The 26,818-nt window shown below is 36.4% G+C and overlaps 3 annotated features.

The window, feature by feature from the left end:
- Positions 21,166 to 21,667: an enhancer, noted in NCBI's record as "NANOG hESC enhancer chrY:10066524-10067025 (GRCh37/hg19 assembly coordinates)". NCBI's record gives its function as "activates a minimal SCP1, AML or CMV promoter by ChIP-STARR-seq in primed H9 embryonic stem cells {active_cell/tissue: H9 hESC(primed)}" and the evidence as "EXISTENCE:reporter gene assay evidence [ECO:0000049][PMID:30033119]".
- Positions 22,617 to 23,597: an enhancer, noted in NCBI's record as "OCT4-NANOG hESC enhancer chrY:10067975-10068955 (GRCh37/hg19 assembly coordinates)". NCBI's record gives its function as "activates a minimal SCP1, AML or CMV promoter by ChIP-STARR-seq in primed H9 embryonic stem cells {active_cell/tissue: H9 hESC(primed)}" and the evidence as "EXISTENCE:reporter gene assay evidence [ECO:0000049][PMID:30033119]".
- Positions 25,284 to 25,785: an enhancer, noted in NCBI's record as "NANOG hESC enhancer chrY:10070642-10071143 (GRCh37/hg19 assembly coordinates)". NCBI's record gives its function as "activates a minimal SCP1, AML or CMV promoter by ChIP-STARR-seq in primed H9 embryonic stem cells {active_cell/tissue: H9 hESC(primed)}" and the evidence as "EXISTENCE:reporter gene assay evidence [ECO:0000049][PMID:30033119]".

The raw sequence follows: 26,818 nt of genomic DNA on the forward strand, positions 1-26,818 counted from the left end.
GAGGAAATATTTTCACAGAAAACCAGACAGAAGCATTCTGAGAAACATCCTTATGATGTGTTCTTTCTTCTCACAGAGTAGAAGCTTTCTTTTGATTCAGCAGATTGCAAACAGTCTTTTTGTACTATCTGCAGAGGGATATATCAGTGTTATCAGACCTATGGAGATAAAGAAATATCTTCACACAAAAACTAGACAGAAGCATTCTGAAAAACTTCTTCATAATGTGTGCATTCATCGCATGTATTTGAACCTTTCTTTTGATTAAGCTGTTTGGAAACAGTCCTTTTGTAGAACCTCAACAGTGCAAAGAGCCTTCTGAAACTTCCCGTTCTGAGGCTTCAGGGGTTTCAGAGGCTCCATGACGAAGTTTATGTTCAGGTGGTCGACAGCAACCTTGTGAGAAATTACTGGAGTTTTAAAGTTATCTATGAAGCAATCCTCCATGACAAGAAACTGGGCTTGGTGGCTAGTGAGAGGGAGACAGGACCTTTATTTTTTATGGAAAAAACAGCTGTCTCTGATATCTAGGGCAACCTGGTCTTTGACAGGGAGAAGACTAAAGAAATCAACTTGGTGATATGAAGAGTTCTCTCAACTCCTTAAATTTAAGGAGTCTACATACACTAGCTAGTAATCAACATAAGCATGGGACCAGAAATCAGTGAATCTAGCATTGAAAGACCAAAGGCCTCCAGTGAGTGGAAATACGAGATATATATATATATATACACACACACACATATATGTATATGTATATGTAGACACATATATACATATGTGAATCAATATCATGAAAATGACCATACTGCCCAAGGTAATTTACAGATTCAATGCCATCCCCATCAAGCTACCAATGCCTTTCTTCACAGAATTGGAAAAAACTACTTTAAAGTTCATATGGAAACAAAAAAGAGCCTGCAATGCCAAGTCAATCCTAAGCCAAAAGAACAAAGCTGGAGGCATCACGCTACCAGCCTTCAAACTATACTACAAGGCTACAGTAACCACAACAGCATGGTACTGGTACCGAAACAGAGATATAGATCAATGGAACAGAACAGAGGCCTCAGAAATAACGCCGCATATCTACAACTATCTGATCTTTGACAAACCTGAGAAAAACAAGCAATGGGGAAGGGATTCCCTATTTAATAAATGGTCCTGGGAAAACTGGCTAGCCATATGTAGAAAGCTGAAAATGGATCCCTTCCTTACATCTTATACAAAAATCAATTCAAGATGGATTAAATACTTAAACGTTAGACCTAAAACCATAAAAACCTTAGAAGAAAACCTAGGCATTACCATTCAGGACATAGGCGTGGGCAAGGACTTCATGTCTAAAACACCAAAAGCAATGGCAACAAAAGAAAAAATTGACAAACGGGATCTAATTAAACTAAAGAGCTTCTGCACAGCAAATGAAACTACCATCAGAGTGAACAGGCAACCTACAAAATGGGAGAAAATTTTCACAACCTACTCATCTGACAAAGGGCTAATATCCAGATTCTACAATGAACTCAAACAAATTTATAAGAAAAAAACAAACAACCCCATCAAAAAGTAGGCAAAGGACATGAACAGACACTTCTCAAAAGAAGACATTTATGCAGCCAAAAAACACATGAAAAAATGCTCACCATCACTGGCCATCAGAGAAATGCAAATCAAAACCATAATGAGATACCATCTCACACCAGTTAGAATGGCAATCATTAAAAAGTCAGGAAACAACGGGTGTGGAGAGGATGTGGAGAAATAGGAACACTTTTACACTGTTGGTGGGACTGTAAACTAGTTCAACCCTTGTGGAAGTCAGTGTGGCGATTCCTCAGGGATCTAGACCTAGAAATACCACTTGACCCAGCCATCCCATTACTGGGTATATACCCAAAGGACTATAAATCATGCTGCTATAAAGACACATGCACACGTATGTTTATTGCGGCATTATTCACAATAGCAAAGACTTGGAACTAACCCAAATGTCCAACAACGATAGACTGGATTAAGAAAATGTGGCACATATTCACCATGGAATACTACGTAGCCATAAAAAATGATGAGTTCATGTCCTTTGTAGGGACATGGATGAAATTGGAAATCATCATTCTCAGTAAACTATCGCAAGAACAAAAAACCAAACACCGCATATTCTCACTCATAGGTGGGAATTGAACAATGAGAACACATGGACACAGGAAGGGAAACATCACTCTGGGGACTGTTGTGGGGTGGGGAGAGGGGGTAGGGATAGCATTGGGAGATAGACCTAATGATAGCTGACGAGTTAGTGGGTGCAGCACACCAGCATGGCACATGTATACGTATGTAACTAACCTGCACAGTGTGCACATGTACCCTAAAACTTAAAGTATAATAATAAAAAAAAAAAATAAGAAAGAAAAAAAACATCCTTTTGCAGATTCTCCAAAAAGAATGTTTCCAAACTGCTCAATCAAAAGAAAGATTCAACTCTTTGAGATGCATACACCCATCATAAAGAAGTTTCCCAGAAAACATGAGTCTAGTTTTTATGTGAAGATATTTCCTTTTTCACCATAAGCCTCCAAGCGTTCACAAGTATCTCTTTGCAGCTTCTATGAAAAGACTGTTTCCAAACTGTTCAATCAAAAGAAAGTTTCAACACTGTGAGATGAATACACACATCAAAAAGAAGTTTTTCAGAAAGCTGCTGTCTACATTTTGTTTTTTGATATTTCCTTTTTCACCATAGGACTCAAACCGCTGAAACATATCACTTTTCAGATTCTACAAAAAGACGGTTTCCAAACTGCTGAATGAAAAGAAAGGTTCAACTCTCTGAGATGAATGCACACATCACAAAGAAGTTTCTCAGAATGCTTCTCTCTAGGTTTTATGTGAAGATATCTCCTTTTTCGCTGCAGACCTCAAACTGCTCATAAATATCCCTTTGCCTATTCTACAAAGACTGTTTCCAACTCGATAAGTCAAAAGAAAGTTTCAACTCTGTGAGATGAATGCACACATCAAAAGGAAGTTTCTCAGAAAGCTTCTGTCTAGTTTTTATGTGAAGATAATTCCTTTTTCACCATATGCCTCAAAATGCCTTCAAATATCCCTTTACAGATTCTACAAAAAGACTGTTTCCAAACTACTCAATCAAAACAAAGGTTAAACTCTGTGAGACCAATGCACACATCTCAGAGAAGTTTCTCAGAAAGTTTCTGTATAGTTTTTATGTAAAGATATTTGCTTTTTCACCATAGGCCTCAAAGAGCTCAAAAATGTCTCCTTACAGATTCTACAAAAAGACTGTTTTTGAACTGGTGAATAAAAACAAATGTTCAACTCTGTGAGATGAATGTACTCATCCTTAAGAAGTTTCTCAGAAAGCTTCTTTATAGGTTTAAGTGAAGATATTTCCTTTCTCACCATAAGACTGAAAGCTTTCACAGATATCACTTTGCAGATTGTACAAAAAGACTGTTTAAAAACTACTCAATCAAAACAAAAGTTCAACTACATGAGATGAATGCACACATCACAAAGAAGTTTCTCAGAAAGCTTCTGTTTATATTTTATTAGTAGATAATTCTTTTTTCACCATAGGTTTCAAACCACTCACAAATATTCCTTGCAGTTTCTAAAAAAGACTGTTTTCACACTACTCAATGAAAAGAGAGGTTCAACTCTGTGAGATGAACACACACATCACAAAGTAGTCTCTCAGAAAGCTTCTGTCTAGTTTTTATGTGAAGATAATTCCTTTTTCAAGACAGGCTTCAATGGGCTTACAACTATCCCTATGCAGATTCTACAAAAAGACTGTTTCCAAACTGCTCAATCAAAGCAAAGTTTCAAGTCTGTGAGATTAATACACACATCACAAAGAAGTTTCTCAGAACTTTACTATCTAGATTTTATTAGGGCATATTTCCTTTTTCACCATAGGCCTCAAGCCACTCCAAATATCCCTTGGCAGATCCTACAAAAATACTGTTTCCAAACTGCTCAATCAAAGGAAATTTTCAACTCTCTGTGATGAATGCACACATCAGAAAGAAGTTTCTCAGTAGATTTCTCTCTAGTTTTTATGTGAAGATATTTCCTTTGTCACCACAAGTCTCAAAGCGTTCACAAAAATCACTTTGCAGATTGTACAAAAAGACTTTTGCCAAACTGCTCAATGAAAAGAAAGGTTCAACTCTGTAACATGAAGGCATACATCATAAAGAAGTTTCTCAGAAGGCTTCTCTCTAGTTTTTATGTGAAGATATTTCCTTTCTCACCATAGGCCTCAAACCGTTCACAAATATCCCTCTGCAGATTCTAAATAAAGACTGTTTCCAAAGTGCTCAATCAAACGAAAGTTTCAATTCTGTGATACGAATGCACACATCCAAAGAAGTTTCTCAGAAATCTTCCATCTAGTTTTTATGTGAACATATTTCTTTTTCAGCATAGGGCTCAAACCACTCAAAAATATCCTTCTGTGGATTCAACAAAAAATCTGTTTCCAAACTGCTCAATCAAAGGAAATTTCAACTGTGTGAGATGAAAGCACACATCAAAAAGAAGTTTGTCAGAATTCTTCTGTCTAGTTTTTATGTGAAGGTATTTATTTTTCAGCATAGGCCTCAAATCACTCAGAAATATCCCATTGCAGAAAGTATAAGAAGACTGTTTCCAAACTGCTCAATGAAAAGAAAGGTTCAACTCTGTGACACGAATGCAAACATCAAAAAGAAGTTTCTCAAAAAGCTTCTAATTAGTTTTTATGTGAAGATATTTCCTTTATCACCATAGGCCTCAATCTACTCACAATATTTCTATGCAGATTGTACAAAAAGACTGTTTCCAAACTACTCAATCAAAAGGAAGTTTCAACTCTGTGAGATGAAATCAAACATCACAAAAGAAGATACTCAGAAAGCTTCTGTCTAGTTTTTATGTGAAGATATTTCCTATTTCACCATAGGCCTCAAAGGGCTCACAAATATCACTTCGCAGTTTCTAGGAAAAGACTGTTTCCAAACTGTTAAATCAAAAGAAAAGTTCAACACTGTGAAACGAATGTACACATCACAAAGAAGTTCCTCACAATGCTTCTATCCGGTTTTTATGTGAATATATCCTTTTCCTCAAGAGGCCTCAAACCGCACACGAATATCCCTCTACAGATCCTTCAAAAAGACTTTTTCCAAACTACTCAAACCAAACAAATGTTGAAATCTGTGAGATGAATGCACACATCATGAAGAAGTTTCTTAGAAAGATTTTGTCTAGTTTTTATGTGAAGATATTTCCTTGTTCACCATAGGCCTCAAAGTGCTCCAAATATCCAATTGCACATTCTGCTAAACGATTTTTTCCAAACTGCTCAATCAAAAGAAAGGTTCAACTCTATGAGATGAAAGCACACATCACAAAGAAGTTTCTCAGAAACATTGGTCTAGTTTTTATGTGAAGATATTTCCTTTTTCTCCATAGGCCTCAAATTGCTCAAAACTATCTATTTGCAGATTCTACAAAAAGATTGTTTCCAAACTGCTCAATCAAAAGAAAGGTTCAACTCTGTAATATGAAAGCACACATCACAAAGAAGTTTCTCAGAAAACTTCTGTCTGATTTTATGTGTAGATATTTCCTTTTTCAGAATAGGCCTCAATGGGCTCAGAATTATCCCTTGCAGATTCTACAAAAAGACTGTTTCAAAACTGTTCAATCAAAAGAAAGTTTCAACTCCGTGAGAGAAATTTTTTCACCACTGGCCTAAAAGTGCTACAAATATCTATTTGCATATTCTATGAATAGACTGTTTCCAAACTGCTCAATCAAAAGAAAGGTTCAACTCTGTGATATGAATGCACACATCTCAAATAATTTTCTTAGAAAGCTTCTGTCTAATTTTTATGGGAAGATATTCTTTTTCACCATGGGCCTCAAAGTGCTGCAAATATCCACTTGCATATTCTACAAAAAGACTGTTTCCAAACTGCTAAATCAAAGAAAAGTTCAACTGTGTGAGATAAATGCACACATCACAAAGAAGTTTATCAGAAAGCTTCTGTCTAGTTTTTATGTGAAGCCATTTCCTATTTCACCCTTGGCTCAATGTGCTCCAAATATCCATTTGCAGACTCTGCAAAAAGACTGTTTCCAAACTGCTCAATCAAAAGAAAGGTTCAACTCTGTGAGATTAAATAACACATCACAAAGAAGTTTCTCAGAAAGTTTCTGTCTAGCTTTTATGTGAAGATATTTCCCATTTCACCATAGACCTTAAAGGGCTCACAAATATCCCTTTCCAGATTCTATAAAAAAACAGCTTCCCAACTGCTCAATCAAAAGAAAGTTTCAACTCTGTGAGAGGAAAGCCCACATCCCAAAGAAGTTTCTCAGAAAGCTTCAGTCTAGTTTTTATGTGAAGATATTTCCCATTTCACCACAGGCCTCAATAGGTTCACAAATATCCCTTTGCATATTCCACAAAAAGACTGTTTCCAAACTGCTCAGTCAAAAGAAAGTTTTAACTCTGTAAGATGAGTGCACACATCACAAGAAGTTTATGAGAATGCTTCTGTCTAGTTTTTATGTGAAGATATTTCCTATTTCACCATAGGCCTCAAAGAGCTCGCAAATATCCCTTTGCAGATTTTATGAAAAGACTCTTTCCAAGCTCCCCTATCTAAAGAAAGTTTCAACTCTGTGAGATGAATGAACACATCACAAATAAGTTTCTCAGAATGCTTCAGTCTAGTTTTTATGTGAAGACATTTCTTCTTCACCATAGGGCTCAAACCACTCAGAAATATCCTTTTGCATATTGAACAAAAACACTATTTCCTATCTGCTCAATGAAAAGAAAGATTCAACTCTGTGAGTTGAATGCAAACATCACAAAAAAAGTTTCTCAGAAAGCATCTGTCTAGTTTTCATGTCAAGATATTTCCTTTTTTACCATCGGCCTCAAAGCCCAACAAATATCCATTTGCAGATTATACTAAAAGACTGTTTCCAAACTGCTCAATCCAAAGAATGGTTCAACTCTCTGAAATGAAATATCACACCACAAAGAAGTTTCTCAGAAAGCCTCTGTCTAGTTTTTATATGAAGATATTTCCTGTTTCACCATAGGACTCAAAGGGCTCTCTAATATCCCTTTGCAATTCTGTGAAGAAAGTCATTGGTAGCTTGATGGGGATGGCATTGAATCCATAAATTACCTTGGGCAGTATGGCCATTTTCACGATATTGATTCTTCCTACCCATGAGCATGGAATGTTCTTCCATTTGTTTGTATCCTCTTTTATTTCCTCGAGCAGTGGTTTGTAGTTCTCCTTGAAGAGGTCCTTCACATCCCTTGTAAGTTGGATTCCTAGGTATTTTATTCTCTTTGAAGCAATTGTGAATGGGAGTTCACTCATGATTTGGCTCTCTGTTTGTCTGTTGTTGGTGTATAGGAATGCTTGTGATTTTTGCACATGGATTTTGTATCCTGAGACTTTGCTGAAGTTGCTTATCAGCTTAAGGAGATTTTGGGCTGAGATGATGGGGTTTCCTAGATATAAAATCACATCATCTGCAAACAGGGACAATTTGACTTCCTCTTTTGCTAATTGAATGCCCTTTATTTTCTTCTCCTGCCTGATTGCCCTGGCCAGAACTTCCAACACTATGTTGAATAGGAGTGATGAGAGAGGGCATGACAGTCTTGTGCCAGTTTTCAAAGGGAATGCTTCCAGTTTTTGTCCACTCAGTATGATATTGGCTGTGGGTTTGTCATAGATAGCTCTTATTATTTTGAGATAGTCCCATCAATACCTAATTTATTGGGAGTTTTTGGCATGAAGATTTTTTGAATTTTGTCAAAGGCCTTTTCTGCATCTATTGAGATAATCATGTGGTTTTTGTCTTTGGCTCTGTTTATTTGCTGGATTACATTAATTGATTTTTGTATGTTGAACCAGGCTTGCATCTCAGGGATGAAGCCCACTTGATCATGGTGGATAAGCTTTTTGATGTGCTGCTGGATTCTGTTTGCCAGTATTTTATTGAGGATTTTTGTATCAATGTTCATCAAGGATATTGGTCTAAAATTCTCTTTTTTGGTTGTGTCTCTGCCTGGCTTTGGTATCAGAATGATGCTGGCCTCATAAAATGAGTTAGAGAGGATTCCCTCTTTTTCTATTGATTGGAATAGTTTCAGAAGGAATGGTACCAGTTCCTCCTTGTACATCTTGTAGAATTCGGCTGTGAATCCATCTGGTCCTGGACTCTTTTTGTTTGGTAAGCTATTGATTATTGCCACAATTTCAGATCCTGTTATTTGTCTATTCAGAGCTTGAGCAGTTTGAGGCATGTGGTGAAAAAAGAAATCTTCATATAAAAACTAGACAGAAGCATTCTGAGAAACCATTTTGTGATGTGTGCATTCATCTCACAGAGTTGAATTTTCTTCCGTTGAGTAGTTTGGAAACAGTCTTTTTGTAGAATATGCAAAGGGATATTTGTGAGATTTTTGAGGCCTCTTGTGAAAAAGGAAATATCCACAAATAATATCTAGAGAGAAGGCTTCTTATAAAGTTCTTTCTGATGTGTGCATTCATCACACAGGGTTGAACCTGTCTTTGGATTGAACAGTTTGGAAACAGTTTTTTCGTAGAATCTGCAAAGGAAAATTTGTGAATGCTTTGAGGCTTCTGGTGTAAAAGAAGTATCTTCACATTAAAACTAGACAGAAACGTTCTGAGAAACTTCTTTGTAATGTGTGCATTCATCACACACAGCTGAGCTTTCGTTTGATGTAGCAGTTTGGAAACAGTATTTTGTAGATTCTGCAAAGGGTTATTTATGAGTGGTTTCAGGCCTATGGTGAAAAAGGGAGTATCAACAAAAAAGAACTAGACAGAAACTTTCTGAGAAACTTCTCTGTGATGTGTGCATTCATCTCACAGAGTAGAAAGCTTTCTTTGATTGAGCAGTTTGGAAACAATCTTTTCGTAGAATCTGCAAAGGGATATATGTAGGCGGTTTCAGGTCTATGGTGAAAATGGAAATATCTTCACATAAAAACTAGAAAGAAGCTCTCTGAGAAAATTCTTTGTGATGTGCTCATTCATCTCACAGATTTGAAATGTTCTTTTCATTGACCAGTTTGGATAGAGTCCTTTTGTAGGATTTGTTTTGCGATATTTGTGAGCCCTTTGAAGCCTATGGTGAAAAAAGAAATATCTTCACATAAAAACTAGACAGAAGCTTTCTGAGAAACTTCGTTGTGATGTATGCATTCATCCCAAAGAGTTGAGCCTGTCTTTGGATTGAGCAATTTTGAAAGAGTTCTTTTGTAGAATGTTCAAAGGGATATTTGGGATCCTTTTTTGGCCTATGGTGAAAAAGGAAATGTCTTCATATAAAAACTAGACAGAAACATTCTGAGAAACTTCTTTGTGATTTGTGCATTCTTCTCACAACTTTGAACCTCTCTTTAGATAGAGCAGGTTGGAAAATGTCTTTTAGTAGACTCTGCAAAGTGATAATTTGAATGCTTTGAGACTTACGGTGAAAAAAGAAATATCTTCACTTAAAAACTGGACAGAAGCTTTCTGAGAAATTTCTTTGTGATGTGTGCATTCATCTCAAAAAGTTGAAGCTTTGTTTCCATTGAGCAGTTTGGGAACAGTCTTTTTGTAAAATCTGTAAAGGGACATTTATGAGCACTTTGAGGCCTATATGGAAAAAGGAAACATCTTTAAATAAAAACTAGACAGAAGCTTTCTGAGAAACTTCTTTGTGATGTGTGCATTCACCTCACAGAGTTAAACCTTTCTTTTGATTGAGTAGTTTGGAAACAGTCTCTTTGTAGAATATGCAAAGGGTTATTTATTAGCAGTTTGAGGCCTGTGGTGAAAAAGGGAGTATTAACAAATAAAAACTAGACAGAAATTTCTGAGAAACTTCTCTGTGATGTGTGCATCTCGCAGAGTGGAAGCTTTCTTTGAGCCATTTGGAAACAGTCTTTTTGTAGAATCTGCAAAGGGATATATGTAGGTGGTTTGAGGTCTATGGTGAAAACGGAAATATCTTCACATAAAAACTAACTGCTCAATGGGAAGAAACTTTTTCTTCTGTGTGATGAATGTGCACGTCACAAAGGAGTTACTCAGAAAATTTCTTTCTACTTTTTATGCGAAGATATTTCCTTTTTCAACATATGCCTCAATGCGCTCCCAGATATCCCTTTGCAGATTCTATGAAAAGACTGTTTCCAAACTGCTCAATAAACAGAATGGTTCCACCCTGTGAGACCAATGTGCACATTACAAAGAAGTTTCTCAGAAAACTTCCTTCTCGTTTTTATGTGAAGACAGTCCCTTTTTGAACATAGGCCTCAATGCACTCCAAAATACACTTTGCAGAATCTACAAAAAAAAAAAAAAACTGTTGCCAAATTGCTCAATCAAAAGAAAGTTTCAACTCTGTTAGGTGAATGCGCACATCAGAAAGTAGTTTCTCAGCAAACTTCTGTTTTTTATGTGAAGATAGTTCCTTTTTCCTTATGGGTCTCAAAGCACTCAAAAATATCCCTTTGTAGGTTCTAGAATAACAGAGTTTACAAACTGCTCAATGAAAAGAAACGTTTATCTCTGTGAGATGAATACACATAGCTTAAAGCAGCTTCTCAGAATGCTTCTTTCTAGTTTTTATGTGAAGATATTTCCTTTTTCACCATAAGCCTCAATGTGCTCCTAAATATCCCTTTGCAGACTGTACAAAAAGACTGTTTCCAAAGTGCTCAACCCAAAGAATGTTTCAACTCTGTGAGATGAATGCACACATCACAAAAAGTTTCTCAGAAACTTTCTTTATAGATTTTCTGTGAAGATATTTCCTTTTTCACCATAGGTCTCACCTCAAATCACTCACAAATATCCCTTTGCATATTCTACAAAAATACTGTTTCCAAACCACTTAATAAAAAGAATTATTGAACACTGTGAGATGAATGCACACATCTCAAAGGAGTTTCTCAGAATCCTTCAGTCTAGTTTTTATGTGAATATATTTCCTTTTTCACCATAGGCCTCAAAGTGCTCCAAATATCCATTTGCAGATTCGACAAAAAGACTATTTCCAAACTGCCCAATCAAAACAAAGTTCATCTCTGTGTGATGAATGCACACATCACAAAGAAGTTTCTCAGAATGCTTCTGTCTAGATTTTATGTGAAGTTACTTGCTTTTTCACCATAGGCCTCAAAATGCTCATAAATATCCCTTTGCAGATTCTATAAAAATACTTTTTCCAATTTGCTAAATCAGAAGAAATGTTCAACTCTGTGAGATGATTGCACACATCACAAAGAAGCCACTAAGAAAGCTTCTGTCTAGTTTTTATGTGAAGATATTTCCTTTTTCACCATAGGCCTCAAAGCACTCACAAATATCCCTTTGCAGATTCTATAAGAAGAGAGTTTCCAGACTGATCAGAGAAAATAAACGTTTACTTCTGTGAGATCAATGCACACATCACAAAGCTGTTTCTAAGAAACCTTCTTTATACCTTTTATATGAATACATTTCCTTTTTCACCATTGGCCTCAAAGCGCTCATAAATATCCCTTTGCAGTTTCCACAAACAGACCATTTCCATACTGCTCAATCAAAAGTAAGTTTCATCTTTGTGAGATGAATGCCCACATCACAAAGAGGTTTCTCAGAAAGCCTCTCACTAATTTTTATGTGAAGCTATTTCCTTTTTCACCATAGGCCTCAAAGCACTCACAAATATCCCTTTGCAGACTCTACAAGAACAGTTTCCAGACTGACCAGAGAAAAGAAACCTTTACCTCAGTGAGATGAGTACATACGTCACAAAGCTGTTTCTGAGAAAACTTTTTTATATTTTTTATGTGAATATATTTCCTTTTTCACCATTGGCCTCAAAGCACTCATAAATATCCCTTTGTAGATTCTAAAAAAGACCGTTTCCAAAGTGTTCAATCAAAAGAATGGTTGAACTCTATGAGATGAATGCACACATCACAAAGAAGTTTCTCGGAAAGCTTCTGTCTAGTTTTTATGTAAAGATATTTCCTATTTCATCATAGGCCTCATAGCTCTCAAAAATATGTCTTCACAGATTCTACAAAAATACTGTATCCAAATTTCTCAATCCATAGAAAGGTTCAAATCTGTGAGATGAATGCACACATCACAAGGAGGTTTCTCAGAAAGCTTCTTTCTAGTTTTCTTGTGAAAATATTGCCTTTTTTACCATAGGCTTCAAAGCATCACACGTATCCCTTTGCAGATTCTAAAAAAATACTGTTTACAAACTGCTCAATGAGAAGAATGTTTTATTGAATCTGTAAATTATCTTGGGCAGTATGGCCATTTTCACGATATTGATTCTTCCTACCCATGAGCATGGAATGTTCTTCCATTTGTTTGTGTCCTCTTTTATTTCCTTGAGCAGTGGTTTGTAATTCTCCTTGAAGAGGTCCTACTTTAAAGTTCATATGGAACCAAAAAAGAGCCCGCATCGCCAAGTCAATCCTAAGCCAAAAGAACAAAGCTGGAGGCATCACACTACCTGACTTCAAACTATACTACAAGGCTACAGTAACCAAAACAGCACGGTACTGGTACCAAAACAGAGATATAGATCAATGGAACAGAACAGAGCCCTCAGAAATAATGCCACATATCTACAACTATCTGATCTTTGACAAACCTGAAAAAAACAAGCAATGGGGAAAGGATTCCCTATTTAATAAATGGTGCTGGGAAAACCGGCTAGCCATATGTAGAAAGCTGAAACTGGATCCCTTCCTTACACCTTATACAAAAATCAATTCAAGATGGATTAAAGATTTAAACGTTAGACCTAAAACCATAAAAACCCTAGAAGAAAACCTAGGCATTACCATTCAGGACATAGGCGTGGGCAAGGACTTCATGTCTAAAACACCAAAAGCAATGGCAACAAAAGCCAAAATTGACAAATGGGATCTAATTAAACTAAAGAGCTTCTGCACAGCAAAAGAAACTACCATCAGAGTGAACAGGCAACCTACAACATGGGAGAAAATTTTCGCAACCTACTCATCTGACAAAGGGCTAATATCCAGAATCTACAATGAACTCAAAGAAATTTACAAGAAAAAAACAAACAACCCCATCCAAAAGTGGGCGAAGGACATGATCAGACACTTCTCAAAAGAAGACATTTATGCAGCCAAAAAACACATGAAAAAATGCTCATCATCACTGGCCATCAGAGAAATGCAAATCAAAACCACTATGAGATACCATCTCACACCAGTTAGAATGGCAATCATTAAAAAGTCAGGAAACAACAGGTGCTGGAGAGGATGTGGAGAAATAGGAACACTTTTACACTGTTGGTGGGACTGTAAACTAGTTCAACCATTGTGGAAGTTGGTGTGGCAATTCCTCAGGGATCCAGAACTAGAAATACCATTTGACCCAGCCATCCCATTACTGGGTATATACCCAAATGACTATAAATCATGCTGCTATAAAGACACATGCACACGTACGTTTATTGCGGCATTATTCACAATAGCAAAGACTTGGAACCAACCCAAATGTCCAACAATGATAGACTGGATTAAGAAAATGTAGCACATATACACCATGGAATACTATGCAGCCATAAAAAATAATGAGTTCATGTCTTTTGTAGGGACATGGATGAAATTGGAAACCATCATTCTCAGTAAACTATCGCAAGAACAAAAAACCAAACACCGCATATTCTCACTCATAGGTGGGAATTGAACAATGAGATCACATGGACACAGGAAGGGGAATATCACACTCTGGGGACTGTGGTGGGGTCGGGAGAGGGGGGAGGGATAGCATTCGGAGATATTACCTAATGCTAGATGACACGTTAGTGGGTGCAGCGCACCAGCATGGCACATGTATACATATGTAACTAACCTGCACAATGTGCACATGTACCCTAAAACTTAAAGTATAATTTAAAAAAATAATAAATCTAAAAAAAAAAAGAAGAGAAGAATGTTTTAACTCTGTGAGAGGAATTCTCACATCTCCAAGATGTTTCACAGAAAACTTCTGTCTAGTTTTTATGTGAAGATAATTCCTTTTTCACCATATGCCTCAAAGCACTGACAAATATCCCTTTGCAGATTTTCAAGAACAGAATTTCCAATCTGCTAAATGAGGAGAAACGGTTACTTCTGTGAGATGAAGGCACACATCACAAAACAGTTTATCAGAAATATTCTGTCTAGTATTTATGTAAAGATAATTCCTTTTTCAACATAGGACACAAAGCGCTAATAACCAGTTGGACATTCTACAAAATACTGTTCACAAACTGCTCATCAAAAGAAAGTTTCACCTCTGTGGGATGAATGCATATATAAAAAGATGTTTCTCAGAAAGCTTCTATATTGTTTTTATGTGAATGAGTTTCCCTTTTCACCATGGGCCTCAAAGTGCTCAAAAATATCCCTTTGCAGATCCTAAAAAAAAAACTGTTTCCAAACTGTTGAGTCAAAGAATGGTTCAACTCTGTGACACGAATGCACACATCAAAAAGAAGTTTCTCGCAAACCTTTATACTTTTTATGTGAAGATGTTTCCTTTAACCATAGACCTCAAAATGCTCGCAAATATACCTTTGCAGAATCCACAAAAAGACGGTTTCCCAACTGCTGAATCAAAAGAATTGTTGAACTCTGTGGGATGAATGCATACCTCACAAAGCAGTTGCTCAGAATTCTTTAGTCTAGTTTTTATGTGAAGATATTTTCTCTTTCACCATAGGCCTCAAAGTGCTCAGAAATATCCCTTTACAGATTCCACAAAAAGATGTTTCTAAACTGCTCAATCAAAATAAAGTTTCAGTTCTGTGAGATGAATGCACACATCACCAAGAAGTTTCTCAGTAGGGTTCTATCTAGTTTTTATGCGAAGACAATTCCTTTTTCACCACAGGGCTCTATACACTCATAAATGTCCCTTAGCAGAATCTAATACAACAGAGTTTCCCAACTGATCAAAGAAAATCATTGATTACCTCTGTAAGATGAGAGCAGACATCACAAAACAGTTTCTGAGAAACCTTCTTTATAGTTTTCTGTAAAGATACTTCTTTTTCTACATAGGCCTCAAAGTGCTCACAAATATCCATTTGCAGATTCTGCAAATATACTGTTTCCAAAACTGCTGAATCAAAGGAGGTTCAACTATGTCAGATGAATGCACATATCACAAAGAAGTATCTCAGAAAATTTATTTACACTTTGTATGTGAAGATATTTCCTTTGTCAACATAAGCCTCAAAGTGCTGAAAAATAACCCTTTTCAGATTGTACAAGAACAGAGTTTCCAGACTGAACAGAGAAAATAAATGCTTACCTCTGTGAGATGAATACACACACCACAAGGCTGTTTTTAGGGAAAATGCTTTACAGTTCTTATGTGAAGATATGTCCTTTTCCACCATAGGCCTCACAGCGTTCCAAACATCCACTTGTAGATTCTACAAAAAGAGTGTTTCAAAACTGCTCAATCAAAGAAAAGGTTCAAATCTGTGAGATGAATTCAAACAACACAAAGAAGTTTCTCAGAATGCTCCTAATTTTTATGTTATTTCCTTTTCCACCATAGGCATCAAAGGACTCCAAATATCCACATACAGATACTATAAAAAGACAGTTTCCAAACTGCTCAATCAAAAGTGTGGTTCAACTCTCTGAGATGAATACACACATCACTAAGAGGTTTCTCAAAATGCTTCTGTCTAGTTTTTACATGAAGATAATTCCTTTTCCAACAAAGGCTTCGAATCACAACAAATATCCACTTACAGATTCTACAAAAAGAGTATTTCAAAACTGGTCAATCAAAAGAAAGTTTGAACTCGGTGAGATGAATGCACACATCACAAAGCAGTTTCTCAGAATGCTTCTGTCGAGATTTTATGTGAAGATATTTACTTTTCCACTAGAGTCCACAAAGCTCTCCAAATATCCAATTTCAGATTCTATAAAAAGAGTGTTTCAACACTGCTCAAAGAAAAGAAAGGTTCAACTTTGTGAGTTGAATGCACACAGCACAAAGACGTTTCTCAGATTGCTTCTGTCTAGTTTTTATGTGAAGATATTCCCTTTTCCACCATAGGCCCCAAAGCACACCAAATATCCACTTGCAGATTCTACAAAAAGTGTGTTTCCAAACTGCTCAATCAAAAGAAAGGTTCAACTCGGTGAGGTGAATGCCCACATCACAAAGAAGTTCCTGAGAATGCTTCTGTCTACTTTCTATGTGAAGATATTTTCTTTTCCACTAGAGGCTGCCAAGCACTCCAAATATCCACTTGCAGATACTACAAAAAGAGTGTTTCAAAACTGCTCAATCAAAAGAAATGTTCAAATCTGTGAGGTAAATGCACACATCCCAAAGAAGTTTCTCAGAATGCTTCTAATTTTTATGTAAAGATACTTCCTTTTCCACCATAGGCCTTAAAGCGCTCCAAATATCGATTTACAGATACTACAAAAAGACTATTTCCAAACTGCTCAGACAAAGCAATTGTTCAACTCTGTGAGTTGAATGCACACATCACAAAGAAGTTTCTCAGAATGCTTCTGTCTAGTTTTTATGTGAAGATATTTCCTTTTCCATTGTAGGCTGCTAATCGCTCCAAATATCCACTTGCAGAGTCTACAAAAAGAGTGTTTCAAAACTGCTGAATCAAAAGAAAGGTTCAACTCTGACAGTTCAATGCACACATCACAAAGAAGTTTCTCAGAATGCTTCTCTGTAGTTTTTAGGTGAAGATATTTCCTTTTCCACCATAGGCCTCAAAGTGCTCCAAGTATCCAGTTGCAGATGCTACAAAAAGTCTGTTTTCAAACTGCCCAATTAATAGAAATGTTCAACTCTGTGAGTTGAATGCACACATCACAAATAATTTTCTCAGAATGGTTCCGTATAGTTTCTAAGTGAAGATATTTCCTTTTCCACCTGAAGCCACAAAGCACTCCAAATATCCATTGAAGATTCTACAAAAAGTGTGTTTCAAAACTGCTCAATCCAAAGAAAGGTTTAACTCTGTGAGTTGAATGCCTGCATCACAAAGAAGTTTCTCAGAATGCTTCTGTCTAGGTTTTATGTGAAGATATTACCTTTTCCACTTTAGGCAGCAAAGCTCTCCAAATATACACTTGAAGGTTCTACGAAGAGTGTTTCAAAACTGTTCAATGAAAAGAAAATGTTCAACTCAGTGACATGAATGCACACATCACAAAGAAGTTTCTTGGAATGCTTCTGTCTGGTTTTTGTGTGAGGATATTTTCTTTTCCAGCATTGGCCACAAAGCGCTCCAAATATCCACATGCAGATACTACAGAAAGACTGTTTCCAAACTGCTCAATCAAAAGAGTGGTTCAACTCTCCCAGATGAATGCACACATCACAAAGAAGCTACTCAGAATGCTTCTGTCTAGTTTTTATGTGAAGATATTTCCTTTTCCAATATTGGCCTCTAAGCACTCCAAATATACATTTGTAGATGCTACAAAAAGAAAGTTTCAAAACTGCTTAATCAGAAGATTGCTTCAAATCTGTGAGTTGAATGCACACATCTCGAAGAAGTTTCTCAGAATGTTTCTCTCTAGTTTTTTTGTGAAGATATTTCCTCTTCCACCAGAGGCCGCAAAGCACTCCAAATATCCATTTGTGGATTCTACAAAAAGACTGTTTCCAAACTGCTCAGTGAAAAGTAAGTTTCAGCTCTGTAAGAAGAAGGCACACATCACAAAGAAATTTCTCTAAAAGTTTCTGTCTAGTTTTTATGTGAAATTATTTTCAGTTGCCCTAGAGGGCACAAAGGGCTCTAAAATATCCCTTTGCAGATTCTAGAAAACGACTGATTCAAAACTGTTCAATCTAAAGAAAGGTTCAACTCTGTAAGATGAATGCACACATCACAAAGAAGTTTCTCAGAAAGTTTCTGTCTAGTTTTTATGTGAAGATATTTCCTATTGCCCCAGAGGCCTCAATGGGTTCACAAATATCCCTTTGCAGATTGTACAAAACGACAGGTTTCCAAACTGCTTAATCGAAAGAAAGGTTTACCTCTGTGATATGAATGCACACATCATAAACAAGTTTCTCAGAATGCTTCTGTCTAGTTTTAATGTGAGGATGTTTCCCTTTCCACTGTAGTCTGCAAAGCACTCGAAATATACACTTGTGGATTCTACAGAAGGACTGTTTCCAAACTTCTCAATCAAAAGAAAGATTCAACTCTGTGAGATGAATGCGCAAATCACAAGAAGTTACTAAGAATGCTTCTGTCTAGTTTTAATGTGAAGTTATTTCCTTTTCCACTATAGGCCACAAATGGCTCCAAATATACACGTGCAGATTCCATAAAAAGAGGGTTTCCAAACTGCTCAATCAAAAGAAATGTTCAACTCTGTGAGATGAATGCAAAAATCACAGAGAAGTTTCTCAGAATGCTTCTTTCTAGGTTTTATGTGAAGATATATCCTTTTCCTCTACAGGTCCCAAAACAGTACAAATATCCACTTGCAGATACTACAAGAAGAGTGTTTCAAAACTGCTCAATCAAAAGGAAGGTTCAACTCTGTGAAATGAATGCACACATAAAAAAGAAGTTCCTCAGAATACTTCTGTCAAGTTTTTATGTGAATATATTTCCTTTTTCAACATATGCCTCAAAGCACTCCAAATATCCATTTGCAGATATTACAGAAAGACTCTTTCCAAACTGCTCAATCAAAAGAAATGTTCAACTCTGTGAGATGAATGCACACATCAGAAGGAAGTTTCTCAGAATGTTTCTGTCTAGTTCTTATCTGAAGATATTTCCTATTTCTCCAGAGGCCTCAATGGTGTGACAAATATCCCTCTACAGAGTCTACAAAACGACTGTTTCCAAACTGCCCAATCAATACAAAGGTTCAAGTCTGTGAAATGAAGGCACACATAACAAGGAAGTTTCTCAGATTGCTTCTGTCTATTTTTTATGTGAAGATATTTCCTTTTCACTGTAGGTCTCAAAGCACTCCAAATATCCACTTGCAGATTCTACAAAAAGACTGATTCCAAACTGCCCAATCAAAAGAAAGTTTCAACTCTGTGAGATAAATGCACAGATCAAAAAGAAGTTTCTCAGAATACTTCTGTCTAATTTTTATGTGAAGATATTTCCTTTTCTGCCACAGGCCTCAAAGCTCTCAAAAATATCCACCTGCAGATATGACAAAAAGAGTGTTTCAAAACTGCTCAATCAAAAGAAAGTTTCAACTCTGTGAGTTGAATACACTCATCACAAATAAGTTTCTCAATGCTTCGGGCTAGTATGTATGTGAAGATATGTCCTTTTCCACCGTAAGCCTCAATCCGCTCCAAATATCCAATTGAAGGTACTACAAAAAGAGTGTTTCAAAACTGATAAATCAAAGGAAAGGTTCAACTCTGTGAGTTGAATGCAGACATCACAAAGACGTATCTCAGATTGCTTCTGTATAGTTTTTATGTGAAGATATTTCCTTTTCCACCATGGGCCCCAAAGTGTTCCAAACATCCACATGCAGATTCTACAAAAAGAGTGTTTCAAAACTTCTCAATCAAAAGAAACGTTCAACTCTGTGAGATGAGTGCACACATCACAAAGAAGTTTCTCAGAATCCTTCAGTCTAATTTTTATGAGAAGATATTTCCTTTTCCAACATAGGCCTCAAAGTGCTCCAAATATCCACTTACAGATTCTACAAAAAGAGTGCTTCAAAACTGCTCAATCAATAGAAAGGTTCAACTCCGTGGAAAGAACGCACACTTCAAAAAGAAATTTCTCAGGATGCTTCTGTCTAATTTTTATTTGAAGATATTTCCTTTTCCACCATAGGCCTCAAAGCAGTCCAAATATCCACCTGCAGATTCTACAAAAAGAGTGTTTCAAAACTGCTTAATTAAAAGAAAGGTTCAACTCTGTGAGATGAAGGAACACATCCCAAAGAAGTTTCTCAGAATGCTTCTATCTAGTTTTTATGTGAAGATATTTCCTTTTCCAGTAAAGGCCACAAATCACACAAAATATCCACTTGCAGACTGTACAAAAAGAGTGTTTCAACACTACTCAATTAAAAAAAAAGGTTCAAGTCTATGAGATGAATGCAGACATCACAAAGAAGATTCTCAGAATGCTGCTGTTTAGTTTTTATGTGAAGATATTTCCTTTTCCACCATAGGCAACAAGGTGCTCCAAAAATACACTTGCAGATTCTACAAAAGGACGGTTTCAAAACTGCTCAATCAAAAGAAGAGTTCAACTCGGTGAGATGAAGGCCCACATCAAAAAGAAGTTTCTCAGAATGCTTCTGTCAAGTTTTTATGTGAAGATGCTTCCTTTTCCACCATAGGCCTCAATGCGCTCAATCAAAAGAAACGTTCAACTCTATGAGACGAATGCACACATGAGAAAGAAGTTTCTCAGAATGCATCTGTCTAGTTTCTGTGTGAAGATATTTCCGTTTCCACCATTGATGCCAAAGTGCTCCAAACATCCACTTGCAGATTCTACAAAAAGAGTGTTTCAAAAATGGTGAATCAAAAGAAATGTTCAACTCAGTGAGATTAACGCACACGTCAAAAAGAAGTTTCTCAGAATGCTTCTGTCAAGTTTTTATGTGAAGATATTTCCTTTTTCACCTAGGCCACATAGCACTCCAAATATCCACTTGTAGATTCTACAAAAAAAAAAAGTGTTTCAAAACAGCTCAATCAAAAGAAAGTTTCATCTCTGTGAGTTGAATGCAGACATAACAAACAAGATCCTCAGAATGCTTCTGTCTTGTTTTTATTTGAAAATATTTCCTTTTCCACAATAGTCTGCAAAGTGCTCCAAATATCCACTTGCACATTCGACAAAAGGAGTATTTCAAAACTGCTCAATCAAAAGAAAGATTCAACACTTTGAGATGAATGCACACATAACAAAGTAGTTTCTCAGAATGCTTCTGTCTAGCTTTCATGTTAAGATATTTCCTTTTCGACCATAGGCCTCAATGTGCTCAATCAAAAGAAAGATTCAACTCTGTGAGATGAATGCACACATGAGAAACAAGTTTCTCAGAATGCTTCTGTCTAGTTTCTATGTGAAGATATTTCCGTTTCCACAATAGATGGCAAAGTGCTCCAAACATCCACTTGCAAACTACATAAAGACTGTTTCAAAAATGCTGAATCAAAGAAATTTTCAACTCGGTGAGATGAATGCACACATAAAAAAGAAGTTTCTCAGAATGCTTCTGTCTAGTTTTTATGTGAAGATATTTCCTTTTCCACCTTAGGCCACAAAGTGCTCCAAATATCCACTTGCAGATTCCACAAAAAGTGTGTTTCAAAACTGCTCAATAAAAAGAAATGTTCAACTCTGTGAGATGAATGCACACATCACAGAGAAGTTTCTCAGAATTCTTCTGTGAATTTTTTATGTGTAGATAATTCTTTTCCACCATAAGCCTCAAAGCGCTCCATATATCCACTTGTAGATTCCACAAAAAGAATGTTTCAAAACTGTCCAACTGAAAGAAAGGTTCAACTCTGTGAGATGAATGCACACATCACAAAGATGTATCTCAGAATGCTTCTAATTTTTATGTGAAGATATTTCCTTTTCCACCACAGGACTCAAAGAACTCTAAATCTCCACTTCCAGATTCTACAAATACAGTGTTTCAGAACTGCTCAATGAAAAGAAAGGTTCAACTCTGCGAGATGAATGCACACATCACAGAGAAGTTTCTCAGAAATCTTCTGTGAAGTTTTTATGTGAAGATAATTCTTTTCCACGTGAAGATAATTCTTTTCCACATTAAGCCTCAAAGCACTCCATATATCCACTTGTAGATTCCACAATAAGAGTGTCTCAAAACTGTTCAATTAAAAGAAAGGTTCAACTCTGTGAGATGAATGCACACATCACAAAGAGGTTTCTCAGAATGCTTCTGCCTAGTTTTTAAGTGAAGATAGTTCCTTTTCCACCATAGACCACAAAGTACTCCAAATACACACTTGCAGATTTCACAAAAGAGTTTTTCAAAAGTGCTCAATCAAAAGAAAGGTAGAACTCTGTGAGGTGAATGCACGCATCAGAAAGAGGTTTCTCAGAATGCATTTGTCAAGTTTTTATGTGAAGATATTTCCTTTTCCACCATAAGCCACAGAGCGCTCCAAATACCCATTTACATATTCCACTAAAAGAGTGTTTCCAAACTAATTAATCAAAAGAAAGGTTCAACTCTGTGACTTTAATGCACACATCATAAAGAAGTTTCTCAGAATGCTTCTGTGTAGTTTTTATATGAAGATATTTCTTTGTCCAACATAGGACCCAAAGTTCTCCAAATATCCACAGGAAGATTCTATACAAAGAGTGTTTCAAAACTCCTTAATCAAAAGAAAGTTCAACTCATGTATGAGAAGAATGCATACATCATGAATTTTCTCAAAATGTTTCTGTCTAGTTTTTATGTGAAGATATTACCTTTTCCTCCATGGGACTCAAAATGCTCCAAATATCTACTTGCAAATTCTACCAAAAGAGTGTTACAAAACTGCTCAATCAAAAGAAAAGTTTAACTCTGTGAGATGAATGTATACATCACAAAGAAGTTTCTCAGAATGCTTCTGTTGTTGTGTGAAGATATTTCCTTTTTTACCATAGGCCGCAAGGCATCCCAAATGTCTACTGGCAGATTCTACAAAGAGAGTGTTTCAAAACTGCTCAATCAAAAGAAAGATTCAACTCTGTGAGATGAATGCACACATCACAAAGAAGTTTCTGATAATGCTTCTGTCTAGTTTTTATGTGAAGATATTTTCTTTTCCACCATAGGCCTCAAAGTGCTCCAAATATCCACTTACAGATTCTACAAAAAGAGTGTTTCCAAACTGCTCAATAAAAAGAAAGGTTCAACTCTGTGTGATGAATGCACACATGACAAAGAAGTTTCCCGGAACGTTTCTGTCTAGTTTTTATAGGAAGGTATTGCCCTTTACACTATCGGCTGCAAATTGTGCCAAATATCCAATTGCAGACTATACAAAAACAGTGTTTCAAAACAGCTCAATCAAAAGAAATGTTCAACTCTTTGAGATGAATGCACACATCACAAAGAATTGTCTCTGCATGCTTTCGTTTGGTTTTTATGTGAAGATATTTCCTTTTCCACCATAGGCCTCAAACCCCTCCAAATATCCACTTACAGATTCTCCAAAAGAGGGTTTCCAAACTGCTCAATCAAAAGAAAGTTTCAACACTGTGAGATGAATGCACACATCACAAAGAAGTTTCTCAGAATGCTTCTGTCTACTTTTTATGTGAAGATATTTTCTTTTACACCATAGGCTGCAAATCGCTCCAAATATCCACTAGCAGACTCCAGACAAGTAGTGTTTGTAAACTGCTCAATTAAAGGAAAGTTTCACCTTTGTGTGATGAATGCACACATCACAAAGAAGTTTCTCAGAATCCTTCTGTCTAGTTTTTATTTGAAGACATTTCATTTTCCGCCACAGGCCACAAAGCTCGCCAAGTATACACTTGCAGATTCTACAAAAAGAGTGTTTCAAAACTGCTCAATCAAAAGAAACGTTCAACTCTGTGAGATGAATGCACACATCACAAAGAAGTTTTTGAGAGTGCCTCTGTGTAGTTTTAATGTGAAGATATTTCCTTGTCCATGATAGGCCTCAAAGGGCTCCAAATGTCCACTTGCAGATTCTACAAAAAGAGTGTTTCCAAACTGCTCAATCAAAAGAAAGATTCAATTCTGTGTGATGAATTTATTCATCACCAAGTAGTTTCTGAGAATGCTTCTGTGTAGTTTTTATGTGAAGATATTTCCTTTTCCACAATAGGCCTCAAAGGGCTCCAAATATCCACTTGCAGATTCTACAAAAAGAGTGTTTCCAAACTGCTCAATGAAAGAAAAGTTTCAATTCTGTAAGATGAATGCACACATCACAGAGAAGTTTCCCAGAATGCTTCTGTGTAGTTTTTATGGAAAGATATATCCTTTTCCACAATTGGCCACAAACAGTTCAAAATATCCACATGCAGATTCTACAAAAAAAAAAAGATTCAAAACTGCTCTATCAAAAGAGAGGTTCAATCGTTCGAGTTGCATACACACATCACAAAGAAGTTTCTCAGAATGCTTCTGTTTAGTTTTTATGTAAAGACATTCCCTTTTCCACCAAAGACCTCAAAGCTCTCCAAATATCCACTTGCAGATTCTCCAAAAAGAGTGTTTCAAAATTGCTCAATCAAAAGAAGGTTCAACTCTGTGAGATGAATGCACACATCACAAAGACGTTTCTCAGAATGCTTCTGTGTAGTTATTATGTGAAGATATTTCCTTTTCCACCATTGGCTGCAAATGGCTCCAAATATCCACTTGCAGATTCTAAAAACAGAGTTTCAAAACTGCTCTAACGGAAGATAAGCTCAACTCTGTGGGTGGAATGCACACATCACAAAGAAGTTCCTGAGAAGGCTTCTGTGTAGTTTTTATGTGAAGATATTTCCTTCTCCACCATAGCCCTCAAAGTGCTCCAAATATCCACTTAGAGATTCTACAAAAAGTGTTTCAAAACTGCTAAATCAAAAGACAGGTTCAATTCTATGAGATGAATGCACACATCACAAAGAAGATTCTCAGAATGTTTCTGTGTAGATTTAGTGTGAAGATATTTCCTTTTCAACATTAGGCCTTGAAGCCCTCCAAATATCCACTTGAAGATTCTACAAAAAGAGTGTTTCAAAACTGCTCATTCAAATGAAAGTTCCAAATCTGTGAGATGAATGCACACATCACAAAGAAGTTTCTTAGAATACTTCTGTGAAGTGTTTAGGTGAAGATATTTTCTTTTCCACCATAGGCCACACAGGGCTCCAAATATTCACCTGCCAAATCTACAAAAAGAGAGTTTCAAAAGTGCTGTGTCAAAAGATAGGTTCAACTCTGCCAGTTGAATGCACACATCACAAAGAAGTTTCTCAAAATGCTTCTTTGTAGTTTTTATTTTTATTTTTTGCAGATAGTTCCTTTTCCACCATAGACCACTAATGGCTCCAAATATCCACTTGCAGATTCTACAAAAGAGAGTTTCAAAACAGCTCTACCAAAGATATGTTCAACCCTGTGAGTTAAATGGATACATCACCAAGAAGTTTCTCTGATTGCTTCTTTGTGGTTTTTATGTGAAGATATTTCCTTTTCCACCATAGTTCTCAAAGCGCTCCAAATATCCACTTGCAGATCTTACAAAAAGAGTGTCTCAAAACTCCTCAATCAAAAGAAAGGTTCAACTCTGTGAGATGAATGCACACATCACAAAGAAGTTTCTCAGAATGCTCTTTGTAGTTTTCATGTGAAGATATTTCCTTTTCCACCGTAGGCCACAAAGGACTCCAAATATCCACTTGCAGATTCCACAGGAAGAGAGTTTCAAAGCTGCTCTATCAAAAGATAGGTAAAACTCTGTGAGTTGAATGCACACATCACCAAGAAGGTTCTGAGAAAGTTTTGTGTAGTTTTTAGTGAAGATATTTCCTTTTCCACCATAGGCCTCAAGGCACTCCAAATATCCACTTGAAGATTCTACAAAAAGAGAGTTTCAAACCTGCTCAATCAAAAGAATGGTTCAACTCTGTGAGATGAATGAAGACATCATGAAGAAATTTCTCAGAGTGCTTCTGTGTAGTTTTTATGTGAAGATATTTCCTTTTCCACCATAGGCCACAAAGGGCTCTAAATATCCACTTGCAGATTTTAAAAAAAGAGAGTTTCAAAACTGCTCTGTCAAAAGAAAGGTTAAACTCTGTGATATGAATGCACACATCAAAAAGTAGTTTCTCAGTATGCTTCTGTGTAGTTTTTATGTGAAGATACTTTCTTTTCCACCGTAGTTCTCTAAGCATTCCAAATATCCACTTGCAGATTCTGTAAAAAGAGTGTTTCAAAACTGCTCAATCAAAACAAAGGTTCACCTCTGTGAGATGAAGGCACACATCACAAAGAAGTTTCTCAAAATGCTTCTGTGTAGTTTTTATGTGAAGATATTTCTTTTTCCACAATAGGCCTCGAAGTGTTACAAATATTCACTTGGAGATTCTACAAAAGCAGTGTTTCCAACTGTTAAATCAAAAGAAAATTTCAACTCTGTGAGATGAATGCACACATCACAAAGTAGTTTCTGAGACTGCTTCTGTGTAGTTTTTCTGTGAAGGCATTTCCTTTTCCATGATAGGCCTCAAGGCACATGTAGATTCTACAAAAAGAGTGTTTCAAAACTGCTCAATCTAATGAAAGTTTCAACTCTGTGAGATGAATGTCAACAACACAAAGACATTTCTCAGTATGCTTCTGTGTAGTTTTCATAGTAAGATGTTTCCTTTCCCACCATCAGCCACAAAGGTCTCCTAATATCCACTTGCAGATTCTACCAAAAGGGAGATTCAAAACTGCTCAATCAAAAAAATCTCAACGCTGTGAGATGAATGCATACATCACAAAGAAGTTTCTCAGAATGCTTCTGTTAATTTTTATGTGAAGGTATTTGTTTTTCCACCATAGGACTCAAAATGCTCCAAATACCCACTTGCATATTCTACAAAAAGAGTGTCTCGAAACTGCTCAAACAAAAGAAAGGTTCATCTCTGTGAGATGAATACGCACATCAGAAGAAGATTCTCAGAATGCTTCTGTGTGGCTTTTATGTGGAGA

This window comes from Homo sapiens, chromosome Y (genome assembly GCF_000001405.40).
Source record: "Homo sapiens chromosome Y, GRCh38.p14 Primary Assembly".
Taxonomy (NCBI): Eukaryota; Metazoa; Chordata; class Mammalia; order Primates; family Hominidae; genus Homo; species Homo sapiens.